Raw genomic sequence first — 15542 nt, 5'->3', positions numbered from 1 at the left:
TCTGCTGCATTTTGTGTGACCCAGACAAGCCAGCTAACCTCTGACCTTGGCCGCCTAGGGTGGGGCCAAGGTCACCCTTGGCCTTGTCAGGTGGGGGTGCGGGAGGAAGAGCTCCGCAAATGTTAGCGGCTGGAGTGATGGCAAAAAAAAAAATCATTCACCGTCATGACAGCATTGTCGTTCCTGACACACAGGAGCCCGTCCAGAGCACGGGCTAGGCAGGCCCTGATGGGCACCACCATGCCATTCTCACCAAGGGCCCCAGACGGCTGGCACACGGCAGCCACTCAGGTGTTTGTTGAAGAAATGAGTTTCCATTGCTATCATAAAATGGATTACTAGGTAATGCCACATGACAAGGAACCAGAGGTGCCAGCTCTGACAGTTCTGCCATCCTTGAATATGCTTCGCCAGATGTCGGGACCCACGGGCAATGATTTCACGTGTGCAGGTGATGGATACTTGGCAAATACCATGTGGTGATGTGCCACAGAATACAGGTACCATGCTGCACTGGCTGAATCCTGATAAACCAGAAGCAGAATAAGGAGGAACTCAAGAGGATGAACACTTGACCGCTGGGATGGTCTGAATGTTTCTATCCCTCCTGAAACTCCTACACTGACACCTAATTTGCAGTGCCACAGTACAAGAAGGTGGGGCCTTGGGAGGTGATGAGGTCATGATGGGAGAGCCCTTGTGGATTGGGGCCCTTCTAAAAGGCCTGAGGGAGCTTGTTCACTCCTTCCACCGTGAGGACCCAGCCAGAAGATGCCATCTATGAAGCAGAGAGCAGCCCTCATCACACACCAAATCTGCTGGCACCTTGACCATGAAAACTTCCAGCCCCCAGAACGGTGAGAAGTAAATTTCCACTGTTTATAAATTACCCAGTCTAAGGTAACTTGTGGTAGCAGCCAAAAAAGACTAAGACAACCACCACGCTAAAAAGAGACTATAGCACCCAGATTTGGGACTAGAAACACAGGGTCACTGTGACAAAACGGCCCCCAGGAGAGAAGCTGTCCAGCCAGGAAGCTCGGGGGGCCTGGAACATAACTGAGAAGGGGAGTGAGGCAGTCAGGCCTCAGGGCAGAGCATGGGGAAGCCAGTAGCATTTCCACCATCTACGATGCCTCAGCGCCACCACACACCGTGGTTCTGTGGGGATGGGCTACTACAATGATGTCATAAGCCCAGGGATACGGGACCCCAAACCATGGCTTGGCCGCCACAACCCACATCACAGTGACCTGTGAATGGCACTGACCGTCGCTGAACCCCCTCCATCTGAGAAGCACTGCAGCTCACGTGGGCCGTGGAGTCCGGTTCGGGTCAACTCTTGGAAGGAGGCAGCCGCACCCGGCACCTCTGGCCAACACCAGGTCCCAAGGCAGATGGGCCCCCGTGGCTTCAGCACAGAAACCTCTGTGCCACCTGTCACTTACCATCCCAAGGACGGCAGCTGCCTTGCAGGTGGCAGGCACCAGGTACTGAGCGAGGATCTCGTCTTCTGAAGGGTGCACCCTTCGCAGTTCTGTCAGCGTCACATACATCAGCTCAAACTGGTTGCGCTCGGTGAACAAGTCTGAGACCACTAGAAGCTGGAGATGTGGAAAACCAGGAGGGCAAGGGGAGAATCGCGCTGTTAGAATCCAGGCAACGCATCCAGAACGCTACTACTGGCAAGTCGTGTTCTTACACCCAAGAGACATTACTGTGCGGGACGCATGTGTGCGTGTGTGTGTGGTGTATGCGTGTGCTGTGTCTGTGTGGGTGCGTGGTACACGTGGTGCATGTATGGTGTGTGTATGGTGTGTACATGTGGCGTATGTGGTGTGTGTGTGCGCATGTGGTGTGTGTGCGTGGTGTGCAAGTGGTGTGTGTGTGGTGTGGGGTGTGTATATACATGTGTGTACATGTGGCATGTGTGTGGTGCATGTGTGTGTGGCATGTGTGTGGTGCGTACATGTGTGTGGGGTGTGTGCACGTGGCGTGTGTGTAGTGTGTGCCATGTGTCTGGTGCATGCACATGTGGCATGTGTGTGGTGCATGTGTGTGGTTGTGTGCTGTGTGTGGCACATACATGTGGTGTGTGGGGTGTGTGCACGTGGCATGTGTGTGTTGTGTGCATGTAACCTGTGTGGTGTGGTGCATGTGGTGTGTGTGGTGTGTGTGTGTGTGTGTGGTGCATGCATGTGGAGTGTGTGTGCATGTGGCATGTGTGTGGTGCATGTGGTGTGGCGTGTGTGTGTGGCATGTGTGCTGTGTGTGTTGTGTGTATGGTGCATGCCGTGTATGTGTGTGCATGTGGCATGTGTGTGTGGTGTCTATGGTGCGTGTGGCCTGTGTGTGTGTTGCATGCATGAGGGGTGTGTGTGCAAGTGGCATGTGTGTGGGCGGTGTGTGTGTGTGGGGTGTGTGGCGTGTGTGGTGCGTGTGGCACGTGCAGGTGTGAGGGGAATGGGAAGGCTCACTTACGGATCTGACCACCTCACTGATCAGGATGGCCGGGGTCCTCCTGGCTGAGCTGGACGGCAGGATCCAGCGGCTGTACAACTCAAGCAAAAACTGCGAACAGGAGTGGATGTCAACTCCAGCCCGGTGTTTCCTGTGGAATATGCGAGATGGGTATTTTCCAAGTACATGAGATGAGAGGCTCATTTCAAGAAGCACCTCAAACAAATCAAATGACTGATAAGAAATTTCAAATTTCTGTTAAAAAGAAAAAGGCCATTGGAAAACCTGGAGTTGACTGGAGACGTGGGTGGTGACGAAGGTGCAGGGGCGTCGGCCTCCTCCTCCTCTTCCTCGTCCCATTCCTCCTCCCTCAGGGGTGTGATGCTGTTCCCCAGCCACACGGAGTGTATGGACACCTGCCACAGAAACGGGGCACTGCTCAGTGCTGCGGCCACAGTGCCAGGCTCCTGGTGGGTGGGTGTGGCCACTGGGACTCAGCACATGCCTACCGTCTAACAGTCTGCCCCTTAGCAAGGGTCGTTCAGACACCCCAGGTTACGGGCAAGGGAGCCCACAGAGAGGGTGGGGCAGGGGCTGGACAGCTGCTGGGAAGCTCCAGCACATGCTAAAGGCATGAATCAGGGGCCAGTCAACCCCAGGAGCAGCTGAGGAGGGTGACACAGAAAGAGGCTCTACGAAGGGATGCTTTCACTCCTAAGTGACATCTGAATGGAGTCCCCAAAACACGGAACCAATACGTGAGATTCCTTTTCCAGTCTCCCGCACTGGCAGTCATTGCGGTAAACCCAAGGCCAGAGCTCCCTCGCGCCTTTGTGACCCGCGCTCTAGATCACGCAGCCACCACGCAGTCAGCACACCTCGACTGTCCTCCTTTCTGCCTGGTTCTCGGGAAGCCTCGAGCACTTGGCACAGTGCTGTGGGCTGTGTGCCCATAAAAAGCTGTTCTCCATCATCACTGGCACTAGCCCCAACTCACGTTCTTGGCACCAAGGGCCATTTCCCCCCTGGGACCCAGCACCCTGCAGGGAGTGGGCGAGGAGTCTGTATGAACAGCTCTCAGGCCAAGGAGGAGCCCCTGCACTCCCCTCGCCCAGACCCCTAACCCCCACCCCTCTTTCCCAAAAGCAAGTAGCGGCTCAGTCCAGTGGCATCTAGGGGCTAAACATCCCAGACAGGGCAGGGGTGGCACTGTCCTTCAGCCCCAGACAGGGCAGGGGTGGCACTGTCCTTCAGCCCCAGACAGGGCAGGGGTGGCACTGTCCTTCAGCCCCAGACAGGGCAGGGGTGGCACTGTCCTTCAGCCCCAGACAGGGCAGGGGTGGCACTGTCCTTCAGCCCCAGACAGGGCAGGGGTGGCACTGTCCTTCAGCCCCAGACAGGGCAGGGGTGGCACTGTCCTTCAGCCCCAGACAGGGCAGGGGTGGCACTGTCCTTCAGCCCCAGACAGGGCAGGGGTGGCACTGTCCTTCAGCCCCAGACAGGGCAGGGGTGGCACTGTCCTTCAGCCCCAGACAGGGCAGGGGTGGCACTGTCCTTCAGCCCCAGACAGGGCAGGGGTGGCACTGTCCTTCAGCCCCAGACAGGGCAGGGGTGGCACTGTCCTTCAGCCCCAGACAGGGCAGGGGTGGCACTGTCCTTCAGCCCCAGACAGGGAAGGGGTGGCACTGTCCTTCAGCCCCAGACAGGGCAGGGGTGGCACTGTACTTCAGCCCCAGACAGGGCAGGGGTGGCACTGTCCTTCAGCCCCAGACAGGGCAGGGGTGGCACTGTACTTCAGCCCCAGACAGGGCAGGGGTGGGACCGTACTTCAGCCCCAGTATGATCCCATGACAGTTGGTTTGCGGACGCTGGACACAACGCAAACATTGAAGGATGTGGCCAAATGCAGCGGGGTTGGGGGGATAGGGAATACCTCGGGCACAGACCAGTGTCCCTGGGCCCAGGACAAGGCCAGAGGCACCCAGTGAGCCCCAGGCCTCTCACTCTCAGCCTGCCCTTCAGAAACACTTTCATGAAAAATACAGTGCATCCTATTGGTCATTTTCACTTATCTTGGGGTGGAAACATCTGTCAAAGGTGAAAGGACAGAAGAGTGGGACTTCTTTTTCCAACTATGTCTAGAAAAATACAGGCTGGTCCAGTAGCTCCCTGCTTCCTGTCACTGAAACCGGCAGGCACAAAACAGGACAGTACAGGCAGAGAGCAGGGAACAGAAACAGGCTTGTGACATCACAGGGTTTCTGCTGTGAAGGCTGCAGGCCAGGAACTCAGAAGAGGAAACTCTCAGAGCTCATAAGTGTTTCTAAACACCATATTCTGACCCATTTCCACAGAAACAAAAGCTACAAAGAGAACTGTCCTGCACAACTGCTTTCACTAAATCAGGAACCCGGTGAGCGAAAGACACAGCACCGGGGTGGAGGGAAAGGTGCAAGTCGGCCAGCACAGCCGGGCCCCGCCCAGCATACACCTGTAGGGCTCCACGCCATGTGCCATCATATGCAAATGGCCCTACGTTTCTGTTTACATTTTTTTTTAAGGGACAGAGTACTGGTCTGTTGCCCAGGCTGGAGTGCAGTGGTGCAATCATGGCTCACTGCAGCCTCAACCTCCTGAGCTCAGGTAAGCCTCCTGCCTCAGCCTCCTAAAATGTTATAGATTACAGGTGTTAGCCACCACACCCAGACCCTTGAATCCCTTCACTTATCTGAGGAGGAAACAGAAGCACAGACCAATGTGACCTGCTAGGAAGTGGCCGAGCTGTCTGCCTGCACACGGGGCTCCCACCCAGAACTGGCCACAGGGACAGGGACACTCAGGGAGCCCCCCAAGAGCTGGCCCCAGGGACACTCACGGCCACGCCTGCGGCCCCCCATACCATGGCCCTTCATGGCGTCTACTTCCTCCTGAGCATTTCAGCTGACTCCACTCTGTCCTCACCCCCCTTTTTGTGTCTCACGGTCCTTGCTTAAGTCCAAGTCACGCCCTCTCACTGTCTCTTACACACATCTCTATCGCTACATGTGAGGTCTCTTAACTACTTTCTGGAATACAGAACATAAATAAAAACAAAACTAATGCTTCCTCTGCTTGCGGGACCTAGGAATAAAACAGATAAAAACAATGAACATTAAATTTTTTTTTAAAAAAAAGGAAAACTTCCTTTCATTTAAAAAGTGCACTGAGCTTTTCTCCTGGGTGTGTCAAGCGCCAAAGTCTGAGGACAGAAACGGACAGAGGCCAGGCGGCGGGGGCGCGAGACTGACCTGGCCGAGTTTGTAGCTCATGCTCCCCAGCTCCCGCTCGGGGTTGATCTGTAGCAGCAGCTTCTCGTGGCTGATGAGGGCACCTGTGAACACCAGCACCCTGAGTCTTGATCTGCACAGGGGGGCAGGGCCGCAGGCCCACCCCATACCAGCCCAGCTCCTGCCCAGACAGGCACCCAGCCGTGAGCCACCTGCCCTCGCCGCCACTGGCAGGAGGGCCCAGGTTGTGCAGAGCCCTGTGGGTCTTGGGGATTTGTCACTTTATAACCAGTTAAGCTGGCAGGGCCAGTGGGCAAGCTGGACTCTGTCACTTTTTCTCTATGACAAATAAGACTGCAGCAGTCACTTGTCACCCCTCAGCTCCCACCTCTGTGAATAGGAACTGGTTGTGGGCTGAGCTGCAAAAGCTTAGGAGTCAGCAGTTGCAGGCGAGCCGACAGTCCAGGCAGGCAAGCTCTCTGGGGGACCCAGATAAGCATTTTGGTGAACAGTGCCTTCCAGAACCCCACCTCGGTGCCCAGGCTGACCAGATACAGCCGGCAGGAGCGGGAGCAGGATAATGCCCCCACTTAACCTTTCACACCCCCCCACGCCCCAGGCCAGCCTCCTCATGTCTTTCTGCTGGGCATCCCCCCAATTCCCGGGCACCAGCCTCCCGCTAAATGTCCCCAGCTAACCCTCTGCCAGACCCCAGATCAACTTGCCTCCTCCAAAGGGGCCTCCACGCCCCCTTCCCTGGAAGCACTTGCTCCCCTTGGAGCTCCAGGAGCTGCCTGTGTATGCCTCCCACCCACCTCTGTGCCCCTCTTTTCTGCCTTCTATGACAGGTCATTGCTCCTGGGTCCTCCTGACTTATGAGCTCCTTGAAGGCTGGATCCATGGCCCTCCAAGTGCTCAGTTTACTTCAACGCCCTAATAAACATTTGAGTCTCATAGACACTGCGTATAACACATTGCACGTCCACATAGAACTTTCTGCAATTAAAGCCTTCAAGGTGCTTAAACTCCTAAATAGCTACGGAATCACAGAGCTCTACGCTAAAATACTTTTGAGTGAAAAACGTGCATCCCAAATCCCCACACAACTCTCTTCTTTTAAACCAGGTGACAAGCTCCGATGCCTGTGATAGGGCAGGCACACAACCGGAAGGCTTGGTGGGAGAGTGGGCAGTGACAGGCAGGGCCCAGGGAGGGGAGAGGTGCAGGGAGCGGGGTGCTCAGGCCCAGCTGTGCCCTGCCCTGCAGCCACTGCCACACATGGTTTCTTAGGAAAAGCTGGAGATTCAGCTTGTGTAGATGAACTTGGTTGAGTTCTTAACATAAGCAACTAATTCAACTTTTAAATCCTGCTGGTCTTACAGCCCGTGAGAATTCTTTCGCTTCTCATTTCTTGACTGGCAGGAGAGAATGCTTCTCATTCATTTCCAGATTTTACTTCCTCCCTGGGCCTGACTAAGACTCCTGCTTATGAAAGGGGCAGCGTATTTAGCACCACAGCCTCCAACTCAGACCACACTCAGGTCTTCCCGCATCACTGGTGTGGTGAGCATGCCAGTCTTCTCTCATTCTAGCCCAAGTACAACCGCTCCCCCGCACCCTTTCCCTCAGGTACCTGTAGTAGCCGGAGACAGAGAAGGGACAGGATCCCATGCCTGATATAAATGATGGGTGGCAATATTCTCTCTCTTTGAAACCATTGCTTGAATCTCTTGCTCCACAATCCCTCTGATAATGCTCAGCTTCCTCCCAAACCTACATTTTAGAAAAAAGGTAAAGAGTGTTTTGTTTCCTTCAAAATCTTACAAGTGAAAAACACCAGAACTTTCCCTCCGCTTTGCCTAAAGGAACCTGGTGTAATACCAAATGAAACTCACTTCCTAAGTGAGCACCTGTCCGTGAGCCCTTAAGTGGGTGTTCTACTAGTTGCCTGCTCATTCCTGCTCTGCTAACGTCTTCCCCTAAATGCTCAATAACCCCACGTCAGTTCCTGTCACGTTTCCAGCTTCTCACTGACCAGGAGGCCACCTTTGGGTCTGCATCTCCTGCACAGGCCACACGGACGGTGTTTTCAATTCTAGCAATGAAGGAAAACGGCCTGGTTGAAGCTGCTGGACGCTTCAGCGGGGAACCCACTGTCCCCAGCACCTGCTATGTCCCAGAGACACGTGGGAACTCAAGCAAACCTGGTGTCGAGAGCTTTCAGAGGCTTGTTCCGGGGCTGCTGCTCCAAGCAGCTTACAGCTGGGTTGCCGGCCACAGGCACAGTCATTGCACTGAGCACCAGTGAGGTGATGGCCTGCACGGCCAGGACGTTGATCTGGGTCCTCTCTGTGTCTTCCTGGAAGGAGAGCCCACATGTCAACAAGAGCAGCAAGACACCCACAACCACCTCTGCCTGCAGAACCCAGAGTCTTCCCTGCCTCAATGGGAGGAAGAGGAGCCTTAAGTGCTACCAAAGGATTTCTGTCAGGCTGAGCTCACGGGGCACAAGGCAGGGCCTCCGCACACACGGGCCCTGAAACAATCTGATGGGCAAAAGCCCATTTTTCAAATCAAGGACTCCTTTGGGCACAAAACTCCAAACATGAATTACTTTTTAATAAATTATCTTTGAATTCCCTCATACATTTTACAGGCCTTGCTTATGACACCCTGTTAGCTTCTATGCATGAATTTAAAGACAATCTTGATGACTTGTGACATATGTCTACCCTCCAAACTGTCATTTCTGTGAGTTCAAACCACACCTTCTATCAGAATCAAGGGCCTGCATTCCACAACTTCCCATTCTGCTGGCTCCGCTGTACCAGAGCACAGTTATTATTAATATCGTGTTAGCGTAATGTACGTGAACACTTCAAGAAGCCTGATAAAATCTCTGCAAGACATTAGAAAAATGAAACCAGGTACTACTCATGGCCTTTATAAAGTGCCTTTTCATTTTAATTCAACCTACACTCCTCTGAATATTGATAAACTAAAAGATATTTTCCAGAAAGGGCACAATCGTATTGATCCTTAACATGGAATGCACCGTAATAAAATGCATTCCAGCCATTGGTAATCGCAGCCCCCAGACCTCAGCAGGCTTTGTCCCTGCTCTGGAATATCAGTCAAGACACCATTCAGCTACTCTTTCAAAAATAAGGTAAGAGAAAAAAAGAACACCAGCTTGCTGCCTTATTTTATTCCCCACCAAAGGCCTGCAAGCGGCCATAACTGCCCATGTGCCAACCAGCACAGGGTGTGGCCTTACTTCTGGTGGGCTCTCCTCCTGCTCCATCACGAGGGGCTGCGTCACCAGGACACCAAGGAGGGTGGCCCAAGTTTCTTCAAACTGAGTACGACTGGTCCAGCCTAGAAATATAAATGTTACATGAGAGAGTGTCAACCCTTCTCAAGCCTGTAACGGAGAGCTGACAGCTACGCCGACACAGCACGGCCCCTGGAGAAGGCTCCACGCCAAGGGCAGTGAGTCCCTTAAACCTCACACAGTTCTATGATGCGGGGAACACTATCCCCTCCATTTCATCATTGAGGAAACCGAAGTATAGACATCGGCTGCACTGTCCGAGACACATGAGAGGCAGGTGGCACAGGCCCAAGTCGGCCCTGGCAGCCTGGTCAACCCCCAGTGGAGCAGACACAGGGACAGGGCAGGGACGCCCATGCAGGCAACCTCGTGCAGGGCCAGGGCCACTTCTGCCCCACTCACTAAATGGGCTAAAATCTTCCCTGGAGTCCAGCCCTGAGACTGTGCAGCTGGCTGCACAACTCTGTGGATAAAACTAATGGCCACCAAGCTGTCCGCTTAGAGTGGGTGAAATCTGTAGTATGTGAATTCTACCTCAATAAAGCTGCTAAAAATTTAAAAGTCAAAGTAATGGTTCCTCTGACCTGTCTAGAAGAATAGATTAAAAAGAGTGTATCAAGGTAGGAACGGGGATTCAGTGAAAATACATCCGACAGACCCTCCATCCCTATTGATGAGCTGCATTCGAGTGTATCTAACGAACAGTTGTTTCTGACAGCTGTGCTTCATGTCCCCATCATGATGTCTGAGGCAGCCACGCCACTTGTGGTAAGGCCAGAGAGACGGGATGGGGTGCTTAGGACAGGAGAACTAGAGCAATGGACATCGGGGTCCCCGTGATAAACGGGGTAAAGAAAGAACAAGAGACAGAGAGAAGGAGAGCGTGCAGGACTGATTCAGACACAGATACAGACAAATATAACAATTTACGTTACAGGGAAAAAAATGAACAAAGAAAATGAGCACAGACAAGGCAAGGACTGCGGCACAGTCTTGGGTCACGCACGTCCGATGGGCAGTTCAAGAGCAAGGGCACCCAAGTAAGCAAAGGTGCTCGTGTTAGGCAAGGGGGAGAGAGCAGGAGGCCACTGATACCGATCCTCACAGCCAGGAAGAGGAGGAGCTCCGTGAGGCAGCTGGCGTGAGGTACCTGCTCAGGGCTCTCTTTGGACATTGAATTATAAAGGGGAAAGTAGAGGCAAGGTGTCTCCTGCCACAACCTTCTGGGATCCAAACAAGCCTCAAATCTGCAGAAGCCCGAGGGACTGGGGAGAGGACTGGACAGTGGAGTCAGGGTGCCCCTGCCAGACTTTCTAGGACAAGACAGGAACATTCCAGGAAACACCACAGCAGGGCACAGTCACTGAGAACTGACTGATTACAGTCCCACCACAAGATCACACCTCTTGCCATCAAATAGGGGCAAAAGTGGTGACTTATTCATTTAGACACTTATTTAGAAATAAGGGGTAACATTTGTTTAGAAATGTAATTTCTAAATCTGCAACAATTCTATGAAATAGACACGACCCCCATTTTACATATGACAAAACTGAGGGTCTCTAGAGGTTAGACGGACTTGCCCTGCGCTGCTCAGGTAGGAGGGCTGGAAGCAGACCAGGACTGTCTGAGCCCCAAGCCTGCTTTCTCCCCATGCTGCCTCTAGGCTCTGGGGAAGGCGAGTGCCAAGAAACCTGACTCCATCTGCTCCCGTCTGCTTGTTCCCATATGAGAAAATGGACCACTGAGACACAACAGGATCAGACTGGTGAACACAAGAAAACATTCTGAGACAAGTGCTGCCACTGTTTAGCCTAAATGCAAAATCTAAGGCAGAATTTGGTCTCACGTTGTCCACTACACATGAACCTTTCCTGACTTCAAACAAGCCCGGAATACACAAAGCTGGGATTCAAGCCACAAAACACAGGAACTGGGATCTATTTTCTCAGTATAAAAGGAGTTTTGCCAACACTGCAAAATGTATTCACATAGGTTTGTATTATTATCATGCTTAAATCTTTTCTGGAGTCAAATGAGAAGATCCCAGTACTGGGGGCTCTGGATTTCCTCCCGGTAGATGTCCGACAATGGTGACCTGAAGGAGAGGCCCCAAGAGTACCTAGTGTGTTGATGCGGTAGATGAACTCCTTAAAGACTTCCTTTTCCTGGAGGAACTCCACGGGGATCTCAGGGAATGCTGTGCCAAAATCCCCTCCCGGTTTGGGTGACCATCCAAGCTTCCACACCTGAGAAGATGAAAAGGAAGTGACATCATCCGAGTTGAGTCAGGACAGACATACTGTGAGGAAGCAGGAAGCCCGACTTCTCTCCACTGGGCTCCCTCCTCACTACCCCAACACTGTCCCAGAGCTGGCACCTTCTCCCCCAGAAAACAGCTCCAACTGCTTCCTGGGACTTCCTTCCCCATCAAGTGGCCCTCCCAAATCTGCTCTGCCCTCCCACTTCCTGTCCTCATCCTGAGGCTGCTGGCACACCCCACTCAGGGAGTGCTGGGAGAAGCAGGCAGGAGTTAGAGACAGCACCCCTCGCCCACAAACAGCAGGTGCTGTGCTAGAATAAAGGCAGGCGTTCAATGAGGTTCAGCTCAGATATGTTTATTGGCAAGCAGGCATGAAAATGAACCATACAGCTTATTTCTGTAAACTCTGAAGTCCAGTTCTCTGTGCGTGAGGTGCTCAGACAAGTGCCATGCACAGAAGAATCCAGAGGCAGGCTTGATGCTGTTCAAGTGGCAGGATCAGCTCACGGTCTGGCCAGCTCAGCTTACATGCCTTCAGTGAGGTGACAAAGGACCCAACGGAACCCCAGGATTCCCACAGCCCATCTGCACAAAGGCAGAGGGGGCTCTATGATAATGACCAGCTAATCTCTTACCTCACCACAGGAAAGCCCTCTCTTTAAATCGGTTATGCTCCCCTATGCTCCTCTCTGGTACCCACCCAGGGAGAGACTGCAGTGCCTGTTACAGCTGCCTTCCAGATGACCGCACTCAGGGAACTCCTCAATGCCAGTGAAGAGCTTGCTGGAGGAATTTTACCTACAGCGTGCAGCCCGTCCTGGCCTATCCTCAGGTGTGCTCTGGACGGCATGACCTCAAGACCGTGCCCTCCTGCATGGTCTCCACGAGCCCCTCCAAAGGAGCAGTTACTGTCTCATAACCAGATGCTAATGAACCCACAGTGACTCGCTGTGCACCAAGAGTGGGGCCGAGAGCAACCCCATGCAGCAAGTGTGGCCTGCTTCTCCAGCACCCCTGCTGCTCTCTTCCCAGGAAAGCCTACAACTCCCTGTTCTGCAACTGCTTCCAGCACCGCCAGGCACTGGCCTCTTCTTCGGAATAAGCCCGCCATCTGGAATACCTTCATTCCCTGCGGCAGAATCCTTATCTCTCAGGATCAAACAATACTGCGTCCTTGGAGCAAGCCTCCCTAGACTCTCCAGCATACATACACACACGTGCACACACACACACAGGCAGGCACGCACCCTTCTCAGGCAGCCACAAGCCTCTTCCCTGGGACCTGGCTCCATTCTCCCTGACCTACACCTGCTGGCTCACACCCTGCCAGGTCGGCCTTTCTTTCCTGCCTGAGGATGCTGCAGGCCCTAAGGAACAGGCCCCATCATCTTATTTCAGCGGGCTGGTGGGAGATGATGCCATTTCACTGGGCAGAAGTCAGTCCCCCTCCATCAACCCTCACTCTCCTCAAGCTAAGCTCCTCATGTTATCTGAAACAAGGGTTCTGATCAATAACACCTACCTTTTTTTTTTTTGAGACGGAGTCTTGCTCTGTTGCCCAGGCTAGAGTGCAGTGGCGCGATCTCGGCTTACTGCAACCTTCGCCTCCTGGGTTCAAGCGATTCTCCTGTCTCAGTCTCCTGAGTAGCTGGGATTACAGGCGTACACCACCACACCTGGCTAATTTTTATATTTTTAGTAGAGATGGGGTTTCACCATGTTGGCCAGGCTGGTCTCGAAATCCTGACCTCAAGTGATCCGCCCACCTTGGCTTCCCAAAGTGCTGGGATTACAGGCATGAGCTACTGCGCCTGGCAATAACACCTACTTTAAACCAATTCTGAAGACAACTGCAAAACTGTGTAGAAAAACATGAATTATCTCCAAAGGAAAATCTCACTCACTCGAGGGGGTGTGGTTTCTGGTCTGCTATTAAGCAAAGTGGTCTAGTTGCTCTAGAATCAGGTCTAACACTAATCTCTTAGGGATGTAGGGCCTCAGTTCATTTTAGAAAACCCAGTATTTCTACTAGCGACCTCCACACGTGGTGCCTGAGGAAAGCAGCCTGGCACCAGAACCACAGTGGGCACCAGAACCACAGCAGGCAGCCTCTGGGCTGCGGGGATTCTGTCCCGCCCTCTCACGTGTGCCCAGCCCAGGGCCTACCGGTGCCTTTCACCGTACTTGGTCTTCTGCAAGGAACGAGCAGACTCACCAGTGGGGGCACACGTGTGTAGCTGTTGACAAGGGGCAGGCGGGCCAGGCTGATGATGATGTTCCTTAGCAATGGCGTGAGAAACGCCGGCACGCCGCTATTCCTTTTATGACCCAAGGCCAACACCGACTGCAGAGACTCCACCATTTCTGCCACCATCTCACAGGCTGCAGTGATATACTTAGGATCTAAACAAGCAACGGTTAAGAGAGGACTTTTTAAAAAACACATCCTATATGCCCAGTGTAGAAAGCATGACCTACAACCAGCTGCTCAAGCTGTAACTGTGGAATCCACTTAGACTCTGAGTTGGCCACTGAAGGCCTGCAGATTCTACCTTCATATCCGCCTATACCATACAATTCTCCCCATTTTCTGCTGGGATTGCTGGAATGGTCCTGAACCTGAGCTCTGGCCTTGGTTCCCAGCCCTCTGGCCCACTCTCTGTGATAAGGCCAGCAGCAGCCTGTGACAGCTGGAAGCCATCCTGTGGCTCCTCAGCCTCAGACTTCCTTTAGGACACCTCCTCTGCCCCTCGTCTTTCTCTGGTCTCCCAGGACCTGTGTCTGTCCCTCAGCTAGTATCAAAGGGCCATGTTGTCATCCTTGCTTCACTGGCTTTCCTAGGTCAGAGTGCTTGAGGGGCTTGGGGCATGGTTCTGGTGGGCATGGAAACTCCCAAGGCAGACGCTGTGGACACTTCACACCCTTGGGAAGATCCACAGAATGGTGTCTTGAGTCTAGAATATCATACCTACTAAAATATGATTTGTTGAGGCAGTGAGTGTGTATTACGTGGCTATTACCCACAGGCCACGAGATTCTACAGTTTGGGCAACTTCCTAGGATAGAGAAGGACTTCTCATTGGACTTAAGCAATTAAGCCCCACGCTAACGAGTTGGCTTTATTAATATTTTTTTTTTTTTTTGAGACGGAGTCTTGCTCTGTCGCCCAGGCTGGAGTGCAGTGGCGGGATCTCGGCTCACTGCAAGCTCCGCCTCCCGGGTTCACGCCATTCTCCTGCCTCAGCCTCCCAAGTAGCTGGGACTACAGGCGCCCGCCACTACGCCCGGCTAATTTTTTGTATTTTTAGTAGAGACGGGGTTTCACCGTTTTAGCTGGGATGGTCTCGATCTCCTGACCTCGTGATCCGCCCGCCTCGGCCTCCCAAAGTGCTGGGATTACAGGCGTGAGCCACCGCGCCCGGCCTATTAATATTTATTGGATGACCTTTAAGAAGTAACGTCCTATCGAGGTGATTAAAAAAACAAAGAAAGCTTCCCACTCTTGCCTAAAGAGGGCCATGGGGAATAAGCATAATCATCTTCACCCAAACAGAACCCACTTCAGGGCCCGTTGCTCTAACTCAAACCGCCAAGATGTCTCAACTGTTTTAAAGCAATGGAAATCTAACTAAAAATCATGATAGCATTTGTTGAGTATTCATAACAAGACTGTCATCCGTTCCAGGTGCTTTACATGGAGGGATTAACTGATTGATTTCAATCCACACGGTTGGCACTATTCTTATCCTCACCACAGAAGCACAGGATCCACAGCCTGAGGTGCCACTCGGCTGGAAGATGCAGAGTAGGGAGGTGGGTGTTTTCATATTCCTTAGGTAGCAACAAGAAATCATGAAATCACAAACTGAAGCCTGAAGGACCCACAGAGGTTTGAGATACAAATTCAGAGAAGTCCTTGGCTGTGCATTAAAATGCCATTGCTTCTGGGTCATTCTCTAATTACAAAACCTTGAACCGGGAACCAGAAGAGAAAAGTACTATGCAGAAGACTAAAGACAGGAAAACTCCATCCACAACCAGGATTGCACAAAAGCGGGGAGAAAAAGCCCAAAAGCACTGGTGCACTCATGATTGAAAAGGCGTGTTTCCTGAGCCACAGAGCATGGAAAAGATGCCTGATGCTCCAGGTAAGCGTGCTGTGTAAAATGTGTGGACAGGCTCCAGGTGAGGCACCCCCACCTCTGTGGGACAGGCAACA

At 52.8% G+C, this 15542-nt stretch overlaps 1 protein-coding gene across 2 annotated transcripts in view; it reads right to left on the bottom strand.

The window, feature by feature from the left end:
* Nucleotides 1–15542, bottom strand: part of HTT (huntingtin) — a 169280-nt gene that overhangs the window by 12470 nt on the left and 141268 nt on the right. For both annotated transcript variants that reach the window (NM_002111.8, NM_001388492.1), the window contains 9 exon segments: nt 1449–1604; nt 2482–2611; nt 2746–2876; nt 5748–5830; nt 7360–7499; nt 7931–8085; nt 9004–9104; nt 11183–11309; nt 13539–13726. In NM_002111.8, coding sequence (NP_002102.4) covers nt 1449–1604; nt 2482–2611; nt 2746–2876; nt 5748–5830; nt 7360–7499; nt 7931–8085; nt 9004–9104; nt 11183–11309; nt 13539–13726 — 1211 coding nt within the window.

Source organism: Homo sapiens, chromosome 4 (genome assembly GCF_000001405.40).
Source record: "Homo sapiens chromosome 4, GRCh38.p14 Primary Assembly".
Classification (NCBI taxonomy): domain Eukaryota; kingdom Metazoa; phylum Chordata; class Mammalia; order Primates; family Hominidae; genus Homo; species Homo sapiens.
The sequence above is the reverse complement of the archived record's forward strand: the minus strand, read 5'-3'. Positions and strand labels throughout refer to the sequence as shown.